Consider the following 16,844-nt stretch of genomic DNA (forward strand, 5'->3'; position numbering starts at 1 on the left):
AATGGCTTCCCTCATTGCCCTCTAAGGTAACTTCTTCAGTGCCCAGCTCCTTAAGCAATTGAGGGTCAGCAGTGCCTGGTGGCCAGCAATGTTTGGCTTTGCAATGAAGTATGGCACCTCCCGTTGGAAGCCTTCCTATAGCATCCTTTGGGAAGCTTTGCAGCAGGTTCTGAGTCACACCACCGCTCCACGGACAGCTTTCTCAAGCACCCAGAAACTATATTATCAGCAAGTCCTGCCAGCACAACACCTCAGCAAATTCCTCCACCATTCGGTAAACTGCACCCTGTCCAACAAGATCTGGATCTCAGCCCAGAGGCATAGAGGGGCTTTTCCTTGGATGCTCTTTCTCAGCCACAGGGGTAGTGGCTGCTCTCTATGCCTGCTATTCCAGTACTGTTTAGAGATCTCTTTGTCCCATTCTAGCCAATTCCTCATTACTCCAATCCCCAGTTATAGCTAATAACTCTTTATATTAAAATTGTCCTGTTCAAATTATCATGTGATTTCAGTCTCCTGATTGGACTTTGCCTGATATAAAATTAAAATCACAACTGATCCAGGAGATAAACTGACAAAGTTGGGATTTTAGAATTGGTTTGGTCATGCACTTGGGCTTCAGCATAGTGCTGAGCTCCTTGCCAAAAGGAAATAGGATGCTATTAATTCTGACATGCAGTGGCATCAAAATTAATCAAGCTATCACTTGTCGCTTATTGTAATGAAAAACCAACTGAAGCAAATGCTTTGAAATCCAAGTGGCTCCTGCACTTGAACATTATAGCAATAATGATAATATTAAGGACTGTGACGTGGGATAGAAGCTTTTAAGTGTGACTTGAATGCCTATTTTTTAATACCGGCAAGCTCAAATCCTTTAACTCTCAGTTCAAGTCACGGCCTAAGAGCCATAAAGCTTTCATGATAGCCCTAAAAGAATCTCTAATTTCTGTAGCCATGTGGCGGATATTGTTGAAAATAAAACACAAAATATAATTGTGTGAGTTTCTGAGTTATAATAGTTGAACTGACAGTCTTGCCAAGTTTCTTACATGACAGTACTGATTAAGAAAGAATGGAATTCAGAAACTTGGGATAAGATACCCAGTTGGACCCAGATGAAACTGACAGTCTTGAAAACTCCACTATTAATACACACAACTCTGGTCCTCCCTTACCAGTGGAAGTAGCTTGCCCTCTAGTATCTAAAAATATAGCCTTCCTTTGCTTCAAAATCCTGTGATAATGTCACCTGGTGAACATATCTTGAAAGAGAACGTTTATTTTCCTTAAGACCCACCACAACCAGTTTCCATTGCCACTATATCCATAAACAGAGTTAAATGTCAGTATGCCCCAGGGATCAAGAACATACCAGGACCTAGGAAGAAATTATTAACATACACAAAACCTGCAACATTTTGCTAAAATATATGCAGAAACCATGGGAACATTTGTGGGTCTCGACATGTAGGCACCTGGGAGAAGCAAGTACTAAACCAATCTGGAGGCACACCCAAAACAAAAACATTATGGGATACCCTAAAAAAAAATTTTAAAGCCACTAAAGACTAGCTCATGATTAAATAAATATAAAATCACAAGGAAACAGTCCATAATAGGCAAGAATCAAGAGATACCAAAAAGGTATAATTAAAACCATAAGAATAGAACAAGATTCTGAAACAGATGACAAAACAAACATCTTTAAGTAACATGAAAGAAAGGATGAAAATCCTAAAACTAAAAAACTATGAAAATAGATGTTAGAAAAAGAGGCAAACAGAACTTTAAGACATGAAAAATGTCAATTAAATTTTTCAAACTTAATTAGCTATAGCTAAAGAGAGAATTCATGAAATTGAAGATAGGTCTGAGAAAATTATCCATAATGCATCAGAGATTTTTAAAAATTGAAAAACATCAAAGAGCATTTAAGAGATATGAAGGATGGAGTGAGAAGGTTCAAAGTAATCCTAATCAAAATTCCAGAAGAGGAAAATAGTAGCGAGAAGGTAACATTAAAAGATATGATAGTGGAGAATTTTCTGGTATTAATGAAATACATATATCCTCAGACTCATGAAATTCAAGATGTCTTGAGTATGATATAAATAAATAAAAAAGACACACATACTGTAATAAATCAAAAAAATCAAATAGAAACATAATATCTTAAAAAGTAGAAAAACATTATATACAGGGGAAATATTTACTGTTGATAGCCCTCTCAACAGCAGCAATATGTCAGGAGACAATGAAATAGTAACAACAAAGTGCAGAATAAAGATAACTTTCAATCTAGAATTCATCACCTAGATTTTTTTAAATCACTTTAGTAGAATAAAATAAAGATATTTTAGAAAAAAATATTAAGAGATTTAACAGAGCCTCACTGAAAGAATCACTCAAGGATGTATGTTAGGGGAAAGACTATAAGCTTAGAGGGACTGAATTAACAAAAACCATAATGTTAAAGTACTAGTAAACATGTGGGCAAATCTAAAGAAGCTTTAACCATATAAAAACAAAGACTATAACCAAAAAAGAAAAAAAAAAAGGAACATTCATTTTGGAGGTCAAAATTAAGATGGAACTCAACTATTAGGCAACAACATGTAAGGAAAGTAGGAGGGATGCATGTTAAAAATAGCTAAGAAGAGGATAAAAATATTATCTTAAGACTTTTTAAGCAAGGATGTTAAAAACATTTAAGTAATCGCTGCAAGAATAGATATAAATGTATAATTTTCAAATTAACAGAAAAAATAAGGGGAAGAAGGAAAATGGAAAAATAAAACAAGCAAGGAAAAATTATGGTGAAGTGACAATTACAAAATAAGATAGCAGAAATTAAATGAAATGTATCAATAATCACAGTAAGTATAAACATATTCAACTTGTTAGTTGAATAAATGAAACCTTTTTAAGGTTCTGTATGACATGTAGAAAATGCTGTGTTGGCGATTAGAAATCCAAATCAAGTCTCTGCAATAAATATTTGTGGCCATTTACCCAATTCCAAGACACCAGTTCACAGACCTGGAATCCCTATTTTATGGGGTAGGACATTGAGAAAGAACCCTGCAACATGGCCATAGGTATTTACTATAAATCTCTTATGAGACTTCCCCAGAGAGATTTGTGACCATATACTAAAATGATTATGCATTAGGTAAAAATAATTATTCTGGCTTTATGAGGGTTTTATAGTTGCTCTAAATTGATAACCTCTGAATACTCAATGTCAAGGTGGTATATTGTCAGAGCAGGGACTTAAATTAGATGGTGAATAGAGTCTTGCCCCAAGTATGTCCTGCAGTGAATTCAGTGGGCCCACAGATATGTCTTGTGACTATTTCCTTGGTTCACAAAACGTGTAATTACAATAGATATACCAAGCAACTCAAAGAATCTGTATTTTAGATCCCTGACCCTGGAGGAAAGATTAATGTGATAGGGCAAGCCTATTGGAAGCCCCTGGAACTGTTCCTATCCCACTTCCCAAAATAGCAAATTGAAAGCAACATTGTATCCCCATGGAGATGATTTGCAGGGATTAATGCCACCAGTGAAGTTTTGAAAGATGCAGAAGTGATGTTTTTATTATATGCCCATTTGACTCACCTTTTGCCTGGTGCCTTTGAATTACTGAAAACTTAAATAGGTGGTGAAACCCATTGTAATCGCTATTCCAATAGTATTACCTTTACTAGGTATAGCCCTCCACCCTTCTTGTGCAGCTACCGATCTCACAAATGCTATTTTCTCAATTCCAATTGCTAAAAACTATTGGAATCAGTTTACCTTCAATTGGTGTTCGTAACAGTACCCCTTAACTGTACACTTCTGGGATGTAAACTCACCTGCTACCTACCATAATATAGTCAAAAGAGAACCAAATCACCTATCTATAGACCATCCCAGTGGTCCATTACATTTAAGACATAATGTCATTTGGACCCAGTCAGCAAGAAATAGAGTACTACAGACATCTTGAGAAGACACATGAATGCCAGTGTAAAATAAACCCTATGAAAATTCAGAGACTTGCCACATTAGTGAAGTTTCTGTAGCATCTAGGAATATTCTTTCTAATGTATAAGACAAGTTTTTGAACTTTACACTTTCACACTGAAACTCTTGGGCATATCCTTGGATTTGGAGGTAATATGTATCACACTTGGTTGTGATTACCTTTACAGATCCAGGATGGGTACATGCTTCCTGGTCATGTGAAGTTTATGATTCACCAGATCCATGGTATTTGGTGTATCTGTGGAAGATAGGTATACATATATTTTATTATTCCTCATGATTCTGAGTGAAGAATTTGGATAGGGTACAACTGGAATGGCTCATTTCTGCTCTACTTTATGTCTGCTGGGGCTGGAATGTCCAAGATGTCTTTTTCACTCATATATCTGTTGCCTCAGCTGAAATGGTCCAAACAGTTATGGTAGAATGATCCAAGTGGGATCGTATGCCTGGCATCTTTGTTCTTAAAATAATCTATGTTCCTTAATTTTCTTCCATATAGTATTAAGGCCTCTCCCTCTGCATGTGACCTCTCCAACAGGGCAGCTAGAGTTCTTATGTAGCAGCTCGTTGCTCCAAAAGTACAAAAATGAAGACTCCCAAACTTTCTTATTGCTTGAACTCAGAAGCCCTACAACTTCAGCCCACATTCTAGTGGTCAAAGCAGACGCAGAGCTAGTTAATAGTCAAGGGAAAGAACTATACAAGAGTGTAAATACCAGATGGCATGGCCCATTAGGGATCAACAATACAGCAGGCTACTAATTCACCTTAAGTCCCCTAATTATTCATGTTCCTTCTACAAGTAAACTATTCTCATTCACTCCTAATACTTTCAAAATCTCATCTCATTTTAGAACTAGGCTTTGGTTTGAAGTCTAGGACCTCATCATCTAAATCAGGTCCAGGTGTGGATAAGGATCTTCTACACTGTTCTTTGTATCTGAAAACAGAAGAACTAAAGAGACAAGTTATCTTCCCCCACACATCCACACACAATGTAGAGGGAGAGATAAGGTAACAACAATAGATAGTGCTAACCAAAAAGGGAGATAAAAATGAGAGGTACAAGGCAATCACTGGTCCACAGCAATTGAGAAATCAAGTCAGAAACATGTTGCCAACTCTCCCTGCTCCACAGGCAGAGAATGTTCACTGATAAGAACCCAGATCAAATCCCTGGAAATAGTTCTCCTAAATTCTGGCACTTTGGGGTCTGGCATCCTGGTTGCATCCCTGATTCATGTCCTGTTCTATGGGTTAGCAGCCATCTAAGCCTGCTTTCTGCTCACAGGAAGTTGATGGGCAAGAGACTTCTTTTCATTTTGATTGTCTCTGTCTCTTTAATGCAAGCTGATGTAATTTTTAAAATTTTTGTGGACTTCTTGTGTATCAAATTATAAATCCATACTATTTGACAAAAAGCATGCCCCAAGAATCATTAAGACAGTCCCTCTCCAATATGGGCTAAGCATCAGGATGCTGTGGGAGAGTATCTTTAAGATTTTTAGAGCTCACAGATCTATAGTAAACAAAACAGCATGCTACTGGCATAAAAACAGACACATAGACCAATGGAACAGAATAGGGAATGGAGAAATTAATTCACATACCTCAGCCAGGCGCAGTGGCTCACATCTTTAATCCCGGCACTTTGGGAGGCCAAGGTGGGCAAATCACTTCAGCCCAGGAGTTTGAGGTGAGCCTGGGTAACATGGTGAAACCCCATATCTACAAAAAAACACAAAAATTAGCCTGGCATGGTTGTGCACACCTGTAGTCCCAGCTACTTGGGAGGCTGAGGTGGGAGGATCTCTTGAGCCTGGGAGAGCAAGGTTTCAGTATGCTGTGATCATGCCTCTGTATTCCAGCCTCTGTGACAGAGTGAGATGCTGGCTCAAAAAAAAAAATCCACACACCAACTATGAACTCATTTTTGACAAAGGTGCCAGAAACATACACTGAGGAAAAGACAGTCTCTTCAATAAATGCTGCTGGGAAAACTGGATATCCATATGCAGAAGAATAAAACAAGACCCCTATCTTTAGCCATATAAAAAAATCAAATCAAAACGATTAAAGACTTAAACTGAAGACCTCAAACCGTGAAACTACTACAAGAAAACATTGGGGAAACTCTCCAGGATATTGATCTGGGCAAAAATTTCTTATGTAATATCCCACAAGCACAGGCAACCACAATAAAAATGGGCAAATGGGATTACATCAAGTCAAAGTTCTGGACACCTAAGGAAACAATCAAAACAGTGAATAGACAACCCAGAGAATCAGAGAAAATAGTTGTCAACTACCCATCTGAGAAGGAATTAATAACCAGAATATATAAGGAGCTCAAACTCTATAGAAAAAATATAATAATCTGATTAACAAATGAGCAAAAGTTGAAACAGACATCTCTCAAAAGAAGACATAGGGCAAACATGTATATGAAAAGGTACTCAACATCATTGATCATCAGAGAAATGCAAATCAATACTACGATGAGATATCATCTGACCTCAGTTAAAATGGCTTATATCCAAAAGTCAGGCAATAACAAATGGTGGTGAGGATATGGATAAAATGGAACACTCATAAACTGTTGGTAGGAATGTAAACTATTACAATGACTATGCAGAACACTTTGGAACTTCCTCAGAAAACTAAAACTAGAGCTACTATATGATCTAGCAATGCCACCACTGGGTATATACCCAAAAGAAAGAAAATCAGTGTATAGAAGAGATGTCTGCACTCCCATGTTTGTTGCAGCACTGCTCACAATAGCAAGGATTTGGAAGCCACTTAAGTAATCATCAAGACGAATCGATAAGGAAAATGTAGTACATATAAGCAATGGAGTACTATTCAGCCATAAAGAAGAATGAGATCCTTTCATTTGCAACAACCTGAACGGAACTGGAGATTATTATGTTAAGTGAAATAAGCCAGGCACAGAAAGACAAGCTTTGTATGTTCTCACTTATTTGTGAGATGTAAAAATCAAAACAATTGAACTCATGGACATAGAGAGTAGAAGGATGATTACCAGAGGCTGGTAAAAATAACAATTGGTACAATAATAAATTAATTGTGCATTTAAAAATAACTAAAAGAGTATAATTGGAATGTTTGTAACACAAAAATGATAAATGCTTGAGACGATGGATACCCCATTCCCTATGATATCATTATTTCATATGTTATGCCTGTATCAAAACATGTCATGTATTTTTTTTAATTTTTCATTGTTATGGGTACATAGTAGGTCTAAATATTGATGGGACTCATGAGATATTTTGATATAGGCATGCAAGTGTAACAGTCACATAAGAGTAAATGAGGTATCCATCATCTCAAGCATTTATCATTTTTTGTGTGTGTTACAAACATTCCAATTATACCCTTTTAGTTATTTTTAAATGTGCAATAGATTATTGTTAACTGTAATCTCCCTGTTGTGCTATCAAATAGTAGCTCTTATTCATTCTCTCTAATTGTATGTTTATACCCATTAAGCATCCTCACTTCCCTCCCACCCTCACACTACCCTTCCTAGTCTCAAGTAATTATCATTCTGCTAGCTCCATGAGTTCAATTATTTTAATTTTTAGCTCCCAGAAATCAGTGAGAACATGCAAAGTCTGTCTTTCTGTGCCTTGCTTACTTTAACATAATTTCCTCCAGTTCCATCCATGTTGTTGCAGATGTCAGGATCTTATTATTTTATTTTATGGCTGAATAGTACTCCATTGTGTATATGTGACATTTTCTTTATCCATTTGACTGTTGATGGACACTTAGTTTGCTTCCAAATCTTGGCTATTGTTGTTTGTTTGTTTGTTTCTGGGATGGAGTCTCGCTCTGTCACCCTGGCTGGATTGCAGTGGTGCAATCTCGGCTCACTACAACCTCCGCCTCCTGGATTGAAGCAATTCTCCTGCCTCAGCCTCCCAAGGAGCTGGGATTACAGGCAGGCACCACAACGCACAACTAATTTTTGTATTTTTAGTAGAGACAGGGTTTTGCATGTTGGCCAGGCTGGTCTTGAACTCCTGACTTCAAGTGATCCACCCGCCTTGGCCTCCCAAATTGCTGTGATTACAGGTATGAGCCACACGTCTAGCCTTGGCTATTGTTAATAGTGCTATGATAAACATAGGCATGCAGATATATCTTTAATATGTTGATTTATTTTCTTTGTAGTATATACGGGGCAGTGAGATTGCTGGATCATAAGGTAGGTCTATATGTAGTTTTTCTGAGGAACATCCATACTATTCTCCATAGTGTCTGTGCTAATGTATATTCCCACCAACAGCATATGAGAATTTGCTTTTCTCCATGTCTTTGCCACAATTTGTTACTGTCTGGCTTTTGTATAAAAGTAATTTTATCTGGGGTGAGATGATAACTCATTTTAGTTTTGATCTGCATTTCTCTGATGATCAATGATGTTGAGTACCTTTTCATATACATGTTTGCCATTTCTGCATCTTCTTTTAAGAAATGTTTATTCAGATCTTTTGCCCATTTTTTATTTGGATTATTAGATATTTTCCTATAGAGTTGAGTTTCTTACAAATTCTTGTTATTAATTCCTTGTCAGATGTGTAGTTTGCATATTTATTCTCCCATTCTGTGGTTTGTCTCTTCACTTTGTTTATTGTTTCCTTTGCTGTGTGCAAAAGCTTTTTAACTTGACGTGATCTTATTTGTTCATTTTTACTGTGGTTGCCTGTGCTTGTGGTGTATTACTCAAGAATTCTTACCATAAACTAATGTCTGGATAGTTTCCCTGATGTTTTCTTGTAGGTATGTCACAGTTTGAGGTTTTCAATTTAACCCTTTAATCCATTTTAATTTTATTTTTGTCTATGGTGAAATATAGGGGTCTTGTTTCATTCTTCTACATATGGATATCCAGTTTTCCCAGCACCATTTATTGAAGAGGCTGTCCTTTGCCCAATGTATGTTCTCGGCACCTTTTCAAAAATGAGTTCACTTCAGATGTCTGGCTTTATTTCTGGGTTGTCTGTTTTGTTCCATTGGTCTATATGTCTGTTTTTATGCCAGTACCATGCTGTTTTGCTGACTATAGCTCTGCAGCATAATTTCAAGTCAAGTAATGTGATTTCTCCAATTTTCTTCATTGTGATTCCTCCAATTTTCTTCATTTTGCTCAGAATGACTTTGCCTATTCTGAGTCTTCAGTGTTTTCATATAAATTTTAAGATTTGCTTTTTTCTCTTTCTTTTTTCTATTTCTGTGAAGAACGTCATTAGTATTTTGATAGGAATTACATTGAATCTGTAGAATGCTTTGCGTAGTATGGACATTTTAACAATATTGATCATTCTAATCCATAAACATGAAATATCTTTCCATTTTTCTGTGTCCTCTTTGATTTCTTACATCAATGTTTTATAGTCCTTATTAGAGAGATCTTTCACTTCTTTGGTATGCCCTTGAAGTATGCTCCTAGGTATTTTATTTCTAGCTATTATAAATGGGATTACCTTTTTTTATTTCTTTACTTTTTAAATTATTGTGGGTACATAGTAGGCATATATATTTGTGGGGTACGTCAGATGTTTTGATACAGGCATACAACTTTAAATAATCGCATCATGGAGAATGGGGTATCCATCCCCTCAAGCATTTATCTTTTGTGTTACAAACAATCCAATTATACTCTTATAGTTATTTTTAAATGTACAATTAGGTTATTATTGACTATAGTCACCCTGTTGTGCTATCAAACAGTATGTCTTATTCATTTTTTCTAACTATTACTTTCTGTACCCATTAACCATCCCTACATCTACTCCAGCCCCCTACTAGGCTTCCCAGCCTCTGGTAAACATCCTTCTACTCTCTATGCCCATGAATTCAATTGTTTTGATTTTTAGATCCCACAATTAAGTGAGAACGTTTGGTCTTTGTCTTTCTGTGCCTCGCTTATTTCACTTAATATAATGATCTCTAGTTCCATCCCTGTTGCAAATAACAGAATCTCATTCTTTTTTTGTGGCTGAACAGTACTCCATTGTGTATATGTACCCTTTTTCTTTATCCATTCATCTACTGATGGATACTTAGGTGGCTTCCAAATCTTGGCTATTGTGAACAGTGTGGCAACAAACATGGGAGTGCAGATATCTCTTCTATACAGTGATTTTATTTCTTTTGGGTATATACCCAGTGGTGGCATTGCTGGATCATATGGTAGTCCTATTTCTAGTTTTTGAGGAAGCTCCAACATGTTCTTCATAGTGGTTATACTAATGTACATTCCTACCAACAGTGTACGAGGGTTCTCTTTTTTCTCATCATCACAATCATTGGTTATTGCCTATCTTTCTATTACATTCTTGATTTCTTTTTCAGATTGTTTGCTGTTGGCGTATAGAAATGCTACGATTTTTGTATGTTGATTTTGTATCCTGCCACTTTACTGAATTTATCAGTTCTAATCGTCTTTTGGTGGAGTCTTCAGGTTTTTTCAAATATAAGATCATATTATCTGCAAACGAGGATAATTTGACTTCTTTCTTTCCAACTTAGATGTCTTTTATTTCTCTCTTGCCTGACCGCTCTAGTTAGGACTTCAAGTACTATGTTGAATAATAGTACTGAAAATGGGCATCCTTTTCTTGTTCCAGATCTTAAAAGAAAGGTTTTCAGTTTTCCCCTATTCAGTATGATACTAGCTGTAGGTCTATCATATAAAGTTTTTATTGTGTTGAGATATGTTCCTTGTATACCAAGTTTGTTGAGGGTTTTACCATGAATGGATGTTGGATTTTATAAAACACTTTTTCAGAATCAATTGAAATGATCCTGTGGTTTTTGTTCTTCATTCTGTTGATATTATGTATCATATTGATGTATTTGTGTATGTTGAACCATCCTTGCATCCCAGGAATAAATCCCAGTTGGTCATGATGAATAATCTTTTAAATGTGTTGTTGAATTTATTTTGTTAGTATTTTGTTGAGGATTTTTGCATCAATGTTCATCAGGGATATTGGCCTGTAGCATTCTTTTTTTGATGTGTCTTTTCCTAGTTTTAATAACAGGGTGATACTCGCCTTGTAGGATGAATTTGGAAGTATTTACTTCTCTTGTATTTTTTAAAGCAATTTGAGTAGAATTGGTATAAGTTTTTTAATTGTTTGGTAAAATTCAGCAGTGAAGCCTTTGGGTTCCAGGCTTTTCGCTGCTGAGAGACATTTTATTAGGCTTCGATCTCATTACTTGCTATTGGTCTATTCAGGTTTTGGATTTCTTCATGGCTCAATCTTGATAGGTTGTATGTGTCTAGGAACTTATCTGTTTATTCTAGATTTTTCAATTTATTGGCATATAGTTGCTCATAGTAGCCTGTAATGATCCTTTGAATTTCTGTGGTATCAGTTTTATGTCTCCCTTTCCATCTCTGATTTTATTTGGACTTTCTTACTTTTTTCCTACTCTGAGTAAAGGTTTGTCAATTTTGTTTATCTGTTTTTTACAAAAATCCACTTTCAATTCATTGATCTTTTGTATTTTTTTGTTTCAATTTCATTTATTTCTGCTTTCATCTCTATTATTTATTTTCTTCCACTAATTTTGGGTTTGGTTTGCTTTTGCTTTTCTAATTATTTGAGATGCAACATTAGGTTGTTTATGTGATGTCTTTCTACTTTTTTGATGTAGAATGGTAGGAGTAAGTCCTTACTTACTATAACTACTGACTTTCTTCTGAGTACTGCTTTTGCTGTATCCCATAGGTTTTTGTATGATGTGTTTCTATTTTCATTTGTTTCAAGAAACTTTTTAATTTCTTTATTAATTTAATCATGGACCCACTCGTCATTCAGGAGTATATTGTTTGCTATGCCAATTGCCATGTGTTTGTACAGTTTCCAATCTTCCTCTCATTACTGATTTCTAGTTTTATTTTCTTGGGTCAGAGAACATACTGTATTTGACTTCAATGTTTTTTGTTTTTTTAATTTTAAGACTTGTTTTGTGGGGCCAGGCACAGTGGCTCACCCCTGTTACCCCAGCACTTTGGGAGGCTGAAGTGGGTAGATCACCTGAGGTCAGGAGTTTGAGACCAGCCTGGCCAACATAGCAAAACCCCGTCTCTACTAAAAATACAAAAATTAGCCAGGCGTGGTGGTGCGTGCCTGTAATCCCAGCTACTCGGGAGGGTAAGGCATGAGAATTGCTTGAACCTGGGAGACAGAGGCTGCAGTGAGCTGAGATCATACCACTGCACTCCTGCCTGGGAGACAGAGCGAGACTCTGTCTCAAAAAAAAAAAAAAAAACTTCTTTAGTGGCCTAAAATATGGTCTATCCTTGAGATAATCCATGTGCTGAGAAAAATATATATTCTGCAGCCACTGGATGAAATGTTCTGTAAACCTCTATTAGGTCCGTTTTGTCTATAGTGGAGATAAAGTATGATGTTTCTTAGTTGATTTTCTGTCTAGATGATCTGTCCAATGCTGAAAGTGGGGTGACAATATCTCCAGCTAGCATTGTATTGGGGTCAATCTCTCTCTTTAGCTCATAATATTTGCTTTATATACCTGGATTATCCAATGTTGGGTGCATATATACTTATAATTGTTAATTCTTCTCACGACCCCTCATCATTATATAATGACCTTCTTTGTCTCTTTCTACATTTTTGTCTCAAAATCTATCTTGTCTGATATAATTATAGCTACTGCTTTTTTTTTGGCTTCTGTTTGCTGAAATATATTTTTCCATCCCTTGATTTTCAGTTTATATGTTTCTTCATAGGTAAAGTGTATTTCTTGTAGGCAACGGATCACTGGGTCTTGGGTTTTTGTTGTTGTTTAATACCCATTTAGCTTCCTCATATCTTTCAATTGGAGAGTTTAGTCCAATTATAGCCAATGCTATTACTGATAAGTAAGGACTTACTCCTACCATTTTGTTATTGTTTTCTGGTTGTTTTGTAGTCTTCTTTCTTTCCTTCCTTCCTTCCTTCCTTCCCTCCTTCCTTCCTTCCATCCATCCTTCCTTTCTTCTCATCTACCGTTTTGAAAAGGTGATTTTCTCTGGTGATCTGTTTTAATTTCTTGATTTTTACTTTTGTGTATCTGTTGTAGGTTTTTAAATTTGAGGTTATAATGAGGCTTTCAAATAACATCTTTTACTCATTATTTTAAACTGATGAAAACTTAACACTGATTACAAAAACAAACAAATGAACTAACCAAACAAGCAGAGAGAAAATGAATAAAACCTCTACACTTTAACTTCATCCCCCCAGCTTTTTAACATATTGTTGTTTCTAATTACATCTTATTATACTGTTTAAGTCTTGAAAAGTTTAGTTATTATTTTTGATCAGCTCATCATTTAATCTTTCTACTCAAGATATGAGTAGTTTACATATCACAATTACAGTGTTAGAATATTCTGTTAGTCTATGTACTTACTATTACCAGTGAATTGTGTACCTTCAGATGATTTCTTGTTCCTTAACATCCTTTTATTTCAGATTGAAGAATTCCATTTAATATTTCTTGTAGGACAGGTCTGGTGCTGATGATATCCCTCAGGTTTTTTGTTTGTTTGTTGGTTGGTTTGTTTGTTGTTTTTTGTTTTGTTTTGGTTTTGGTTTTTTTTTTTTTTTTTTGGTCTAGGGAAGTCTTTATTTCTCCTTTGCGTTTGGAGGATATTTTTGTTGGATATACCATTCCAGGGTTAAAAGGTTTTTGCCTTCAGCACTCTAAAGATGCCTTGGCACTCTCACCCAGCCTGTAATGTTTCCACTGAAAAGTCTGCTGCCAGACATATTAGATGGAGCTCCATTGTATGTTATTTGTTTCTTTTATCCTGCTGTTTTTTTAATCCTTTCTTTATCCTTGGCTGGTAGGTGACATTTACAGTTATGCACCAGCTATGGCAGAAGCCACTGGGTACGTGCTTTATGTTTGTTTACTGGAGAGTCTCTCTGTTGTCTCAGAAGTTGGGCTAGTCTGTGGAATGCCTGGTGTCCTGAGTTCCCTGCTCATCCCCAGAGGCTGGGGGACAAAGATGGGCAGAGATGGACTGCCAAGCTCTCCCTCAGATACCCCAATGATGAGCACCAGTACCAGCGCTGATGGGGTGGCAAGGAGAGCTTATGGTGAAATTCACCAAGTTCTCCAGTGGGTGAGGGAAGAGAGGGTTGCACCAGCTCCACATTCTGGACTGGCAGGAATGCGATCTGCCTCCCTATCACCCCTCTGTCCCAAGTCTTGTGACTTTCAGTTCAGATAGACACTGTCATTTATTTCCATGCTACAGTGTAACTGAGGGCCATGAAAACACCTGTCCCATGGATTTCTGCTAACATGGCCTCAGGATGGAACCTTTTTCCTCAAGCCAAAACAGACAGCTTTGCAGCTCACCTGACTTCTACTGCAGGAACACTGCCCTTCAGTGTAGAAAGTGGGAGGGGACCACCCTTCATGGAAGCCCAGCCTTGGTGGGCACACCACTAGTAGGGATGCAACAGCCCCTAATAGCACTGGAAAGGCCATCTGCAAGTATACTTATGCAAACCGCCTGGGGGAGCAGTTACAGCTGCATCCACCACAGTGGGCAGGGGTGAGGAGGAGAGGGTCCCATCTTCATGTCTCTTCCTGAGCACCAGAGCTGCCTGTTAGTGGGCTAGAACCACACTCTTCCCCTACAGACCTCAGTGCTGTGTCCACATGTCTGCTGGAAGGAGCACAGTCACCTTCAGTTCACAAGCAGGAAACTCTCAGGCACAGGAGTGTGTGCACTCTGGTTTCCTTTGTTCCAAGGGGTACTCCTTTGGAACACTGTATTCTCCCTTCCCCTAGGAGCAGTCTGCCCTGAGAGTTAGACCTATGGGAATCCTGCATTCTTCTGAATCCCACTGGCCCTCTGTGGTTGCCACAGTCCAAGTGTGCGGTGGGGAAGGTTTGCAGGGGATCCGGTGATGCACAGACAAAAGTGCTGAGACTACATGGGCAGGATAGAATCCCAAAATGGGTGCTCACCCCGTATAATACCTGCTACTCCAGTTCGGGTCTCAGAGAAGGGCAAGTGACCCTGTGCTAGCTGGAAGCCTGCTGCTCTGCTTTCAAAAAATTCCAAAATCGCTGCCCACACCAGTGCTTGGACTCACAAGGGTAAAGGGCAGGACTCTCCAACAGTTCAGAAACTAGCAGTCTGCTGCATGGCTGAGGGGAACAAAAATACCCCCAGCTACCCTTTCTATGGGACTCCATGTTCCTCAGGGGTCAATCTCTCCCAAACTCTTGTTTCCTTCTTTTTCTGTGCCCCAGCTTTTTCCCATGGGTTCTCTGATTGGCTCTAGACATCTCCCCTCAGTATTCCACTCTGGCCATAATTATTCACCTATAACTTTGGTTCTTCTGAGGAGAACTGGTGACTGATGTGCCTAGTTAGACATGTTGAAAAAAAAAAACCTAAAATTTTAAAGAATAAAAACAAAGAAAAGTCAAATCCTTTCTTAAATACCAGCAATGAACAATACAAATTTGAAATTAAAAACACAATACTATTTACATTAACACCAAACAATTATATACTTAGGTATACATCTAAGAAAAATGTACAAGATGTATAGGAGGAAAACTCCAAATTACTGATGAAAAAAATAAAAGATGTAAATGGAGAGCCATTCCACGTACATGGATAGAAAGACTCAATACTGTCAAGATTTCAGTTCTTCTCAACTTGATATATAGATTCAACACAATCCCAATCAAAATTTTGGCAAGTTATTTTATGAATATTAACAAACAAATTCTAGAGTTTATATGGAAAGGCAAAAGATCCAAAATAGCCAACACAATATTGAAAGGGGTAGAACATGGTCAGAGGGCTAATACTACCCAACTTCAAGACTTACTGTTAAGCTACAATAATTAAGACAATGGGATACTGGTGAAAGAACAGAAAAGTAGATCAATGAAACAGAACACAGAGTCCAGAAATAGACCCAAAGAAAAATAGCCAATTACATACCTATGGGAATGGATAAAATCCAAAACGCTGACAACACCAAGTGCTAAGAATGTGGAACAACATGAACTCTCATCCATTACTTGTAGGAATGCACAATGGTACAGTCACTTTGGAAGGCAGTTTGTCAATTCCTTACAAAACTGAACACATTCTTATCATATAATCCAGCAATTGTTCTCCTTAGTATTTACCCAATTGAGTTAAAAACTTATGTCTACACTAAAACCTACATACCACCATAAAAGATAAATGGATTTTTCAAATTTAGTATACAAACACAACAGAATACTATTCAGCCATTTTTAAAAATTAAATCCTATCATGTGAGACAATATGCATGAACCTACAGGACATTATATTAAGTGAAATAAGCTAGGCACATAAGGACAAGTACTGCATGAGCTCAGTCATATGTAGAATCTATAAAAGTTGATCTTATAGAAGTAGAAAGTAGAATAGGGATTACCAGAGGCTGTGTAAGATAAGGAGAGGGAAGGATAGGGAGAAGTTGGTCAATAGGTACTATTTTACAGTTACATAGAAGGAAAAAGTTCAGATGTGCTATTACACAGTAGGGCAATATAGTTAACAATAATGTATTATAGGTTTCAAAATAGCTAGAAAAGATGCTTTTGAATGTTCTTATCACAAAGAATGGATAAATGTTTGAGATGATACATATATCAGTTACTCTGATTTGAATGTATACATGTATCAAAACATCACGCTTTACACCATAAATATGTACAATATATTGTATATATAATTGTGT

This window comes from Homo sapiens, chromosome 1, assembly GCF_000001405.40.
Source record: "Homo sapiens chromosome 1, GRCh38.p14 Primary Assembly".
NCBI lineage: Eukaryota > Metazoa > Chordata > Mammalia > Primates > Hominidae > Homo > Homo sapiens.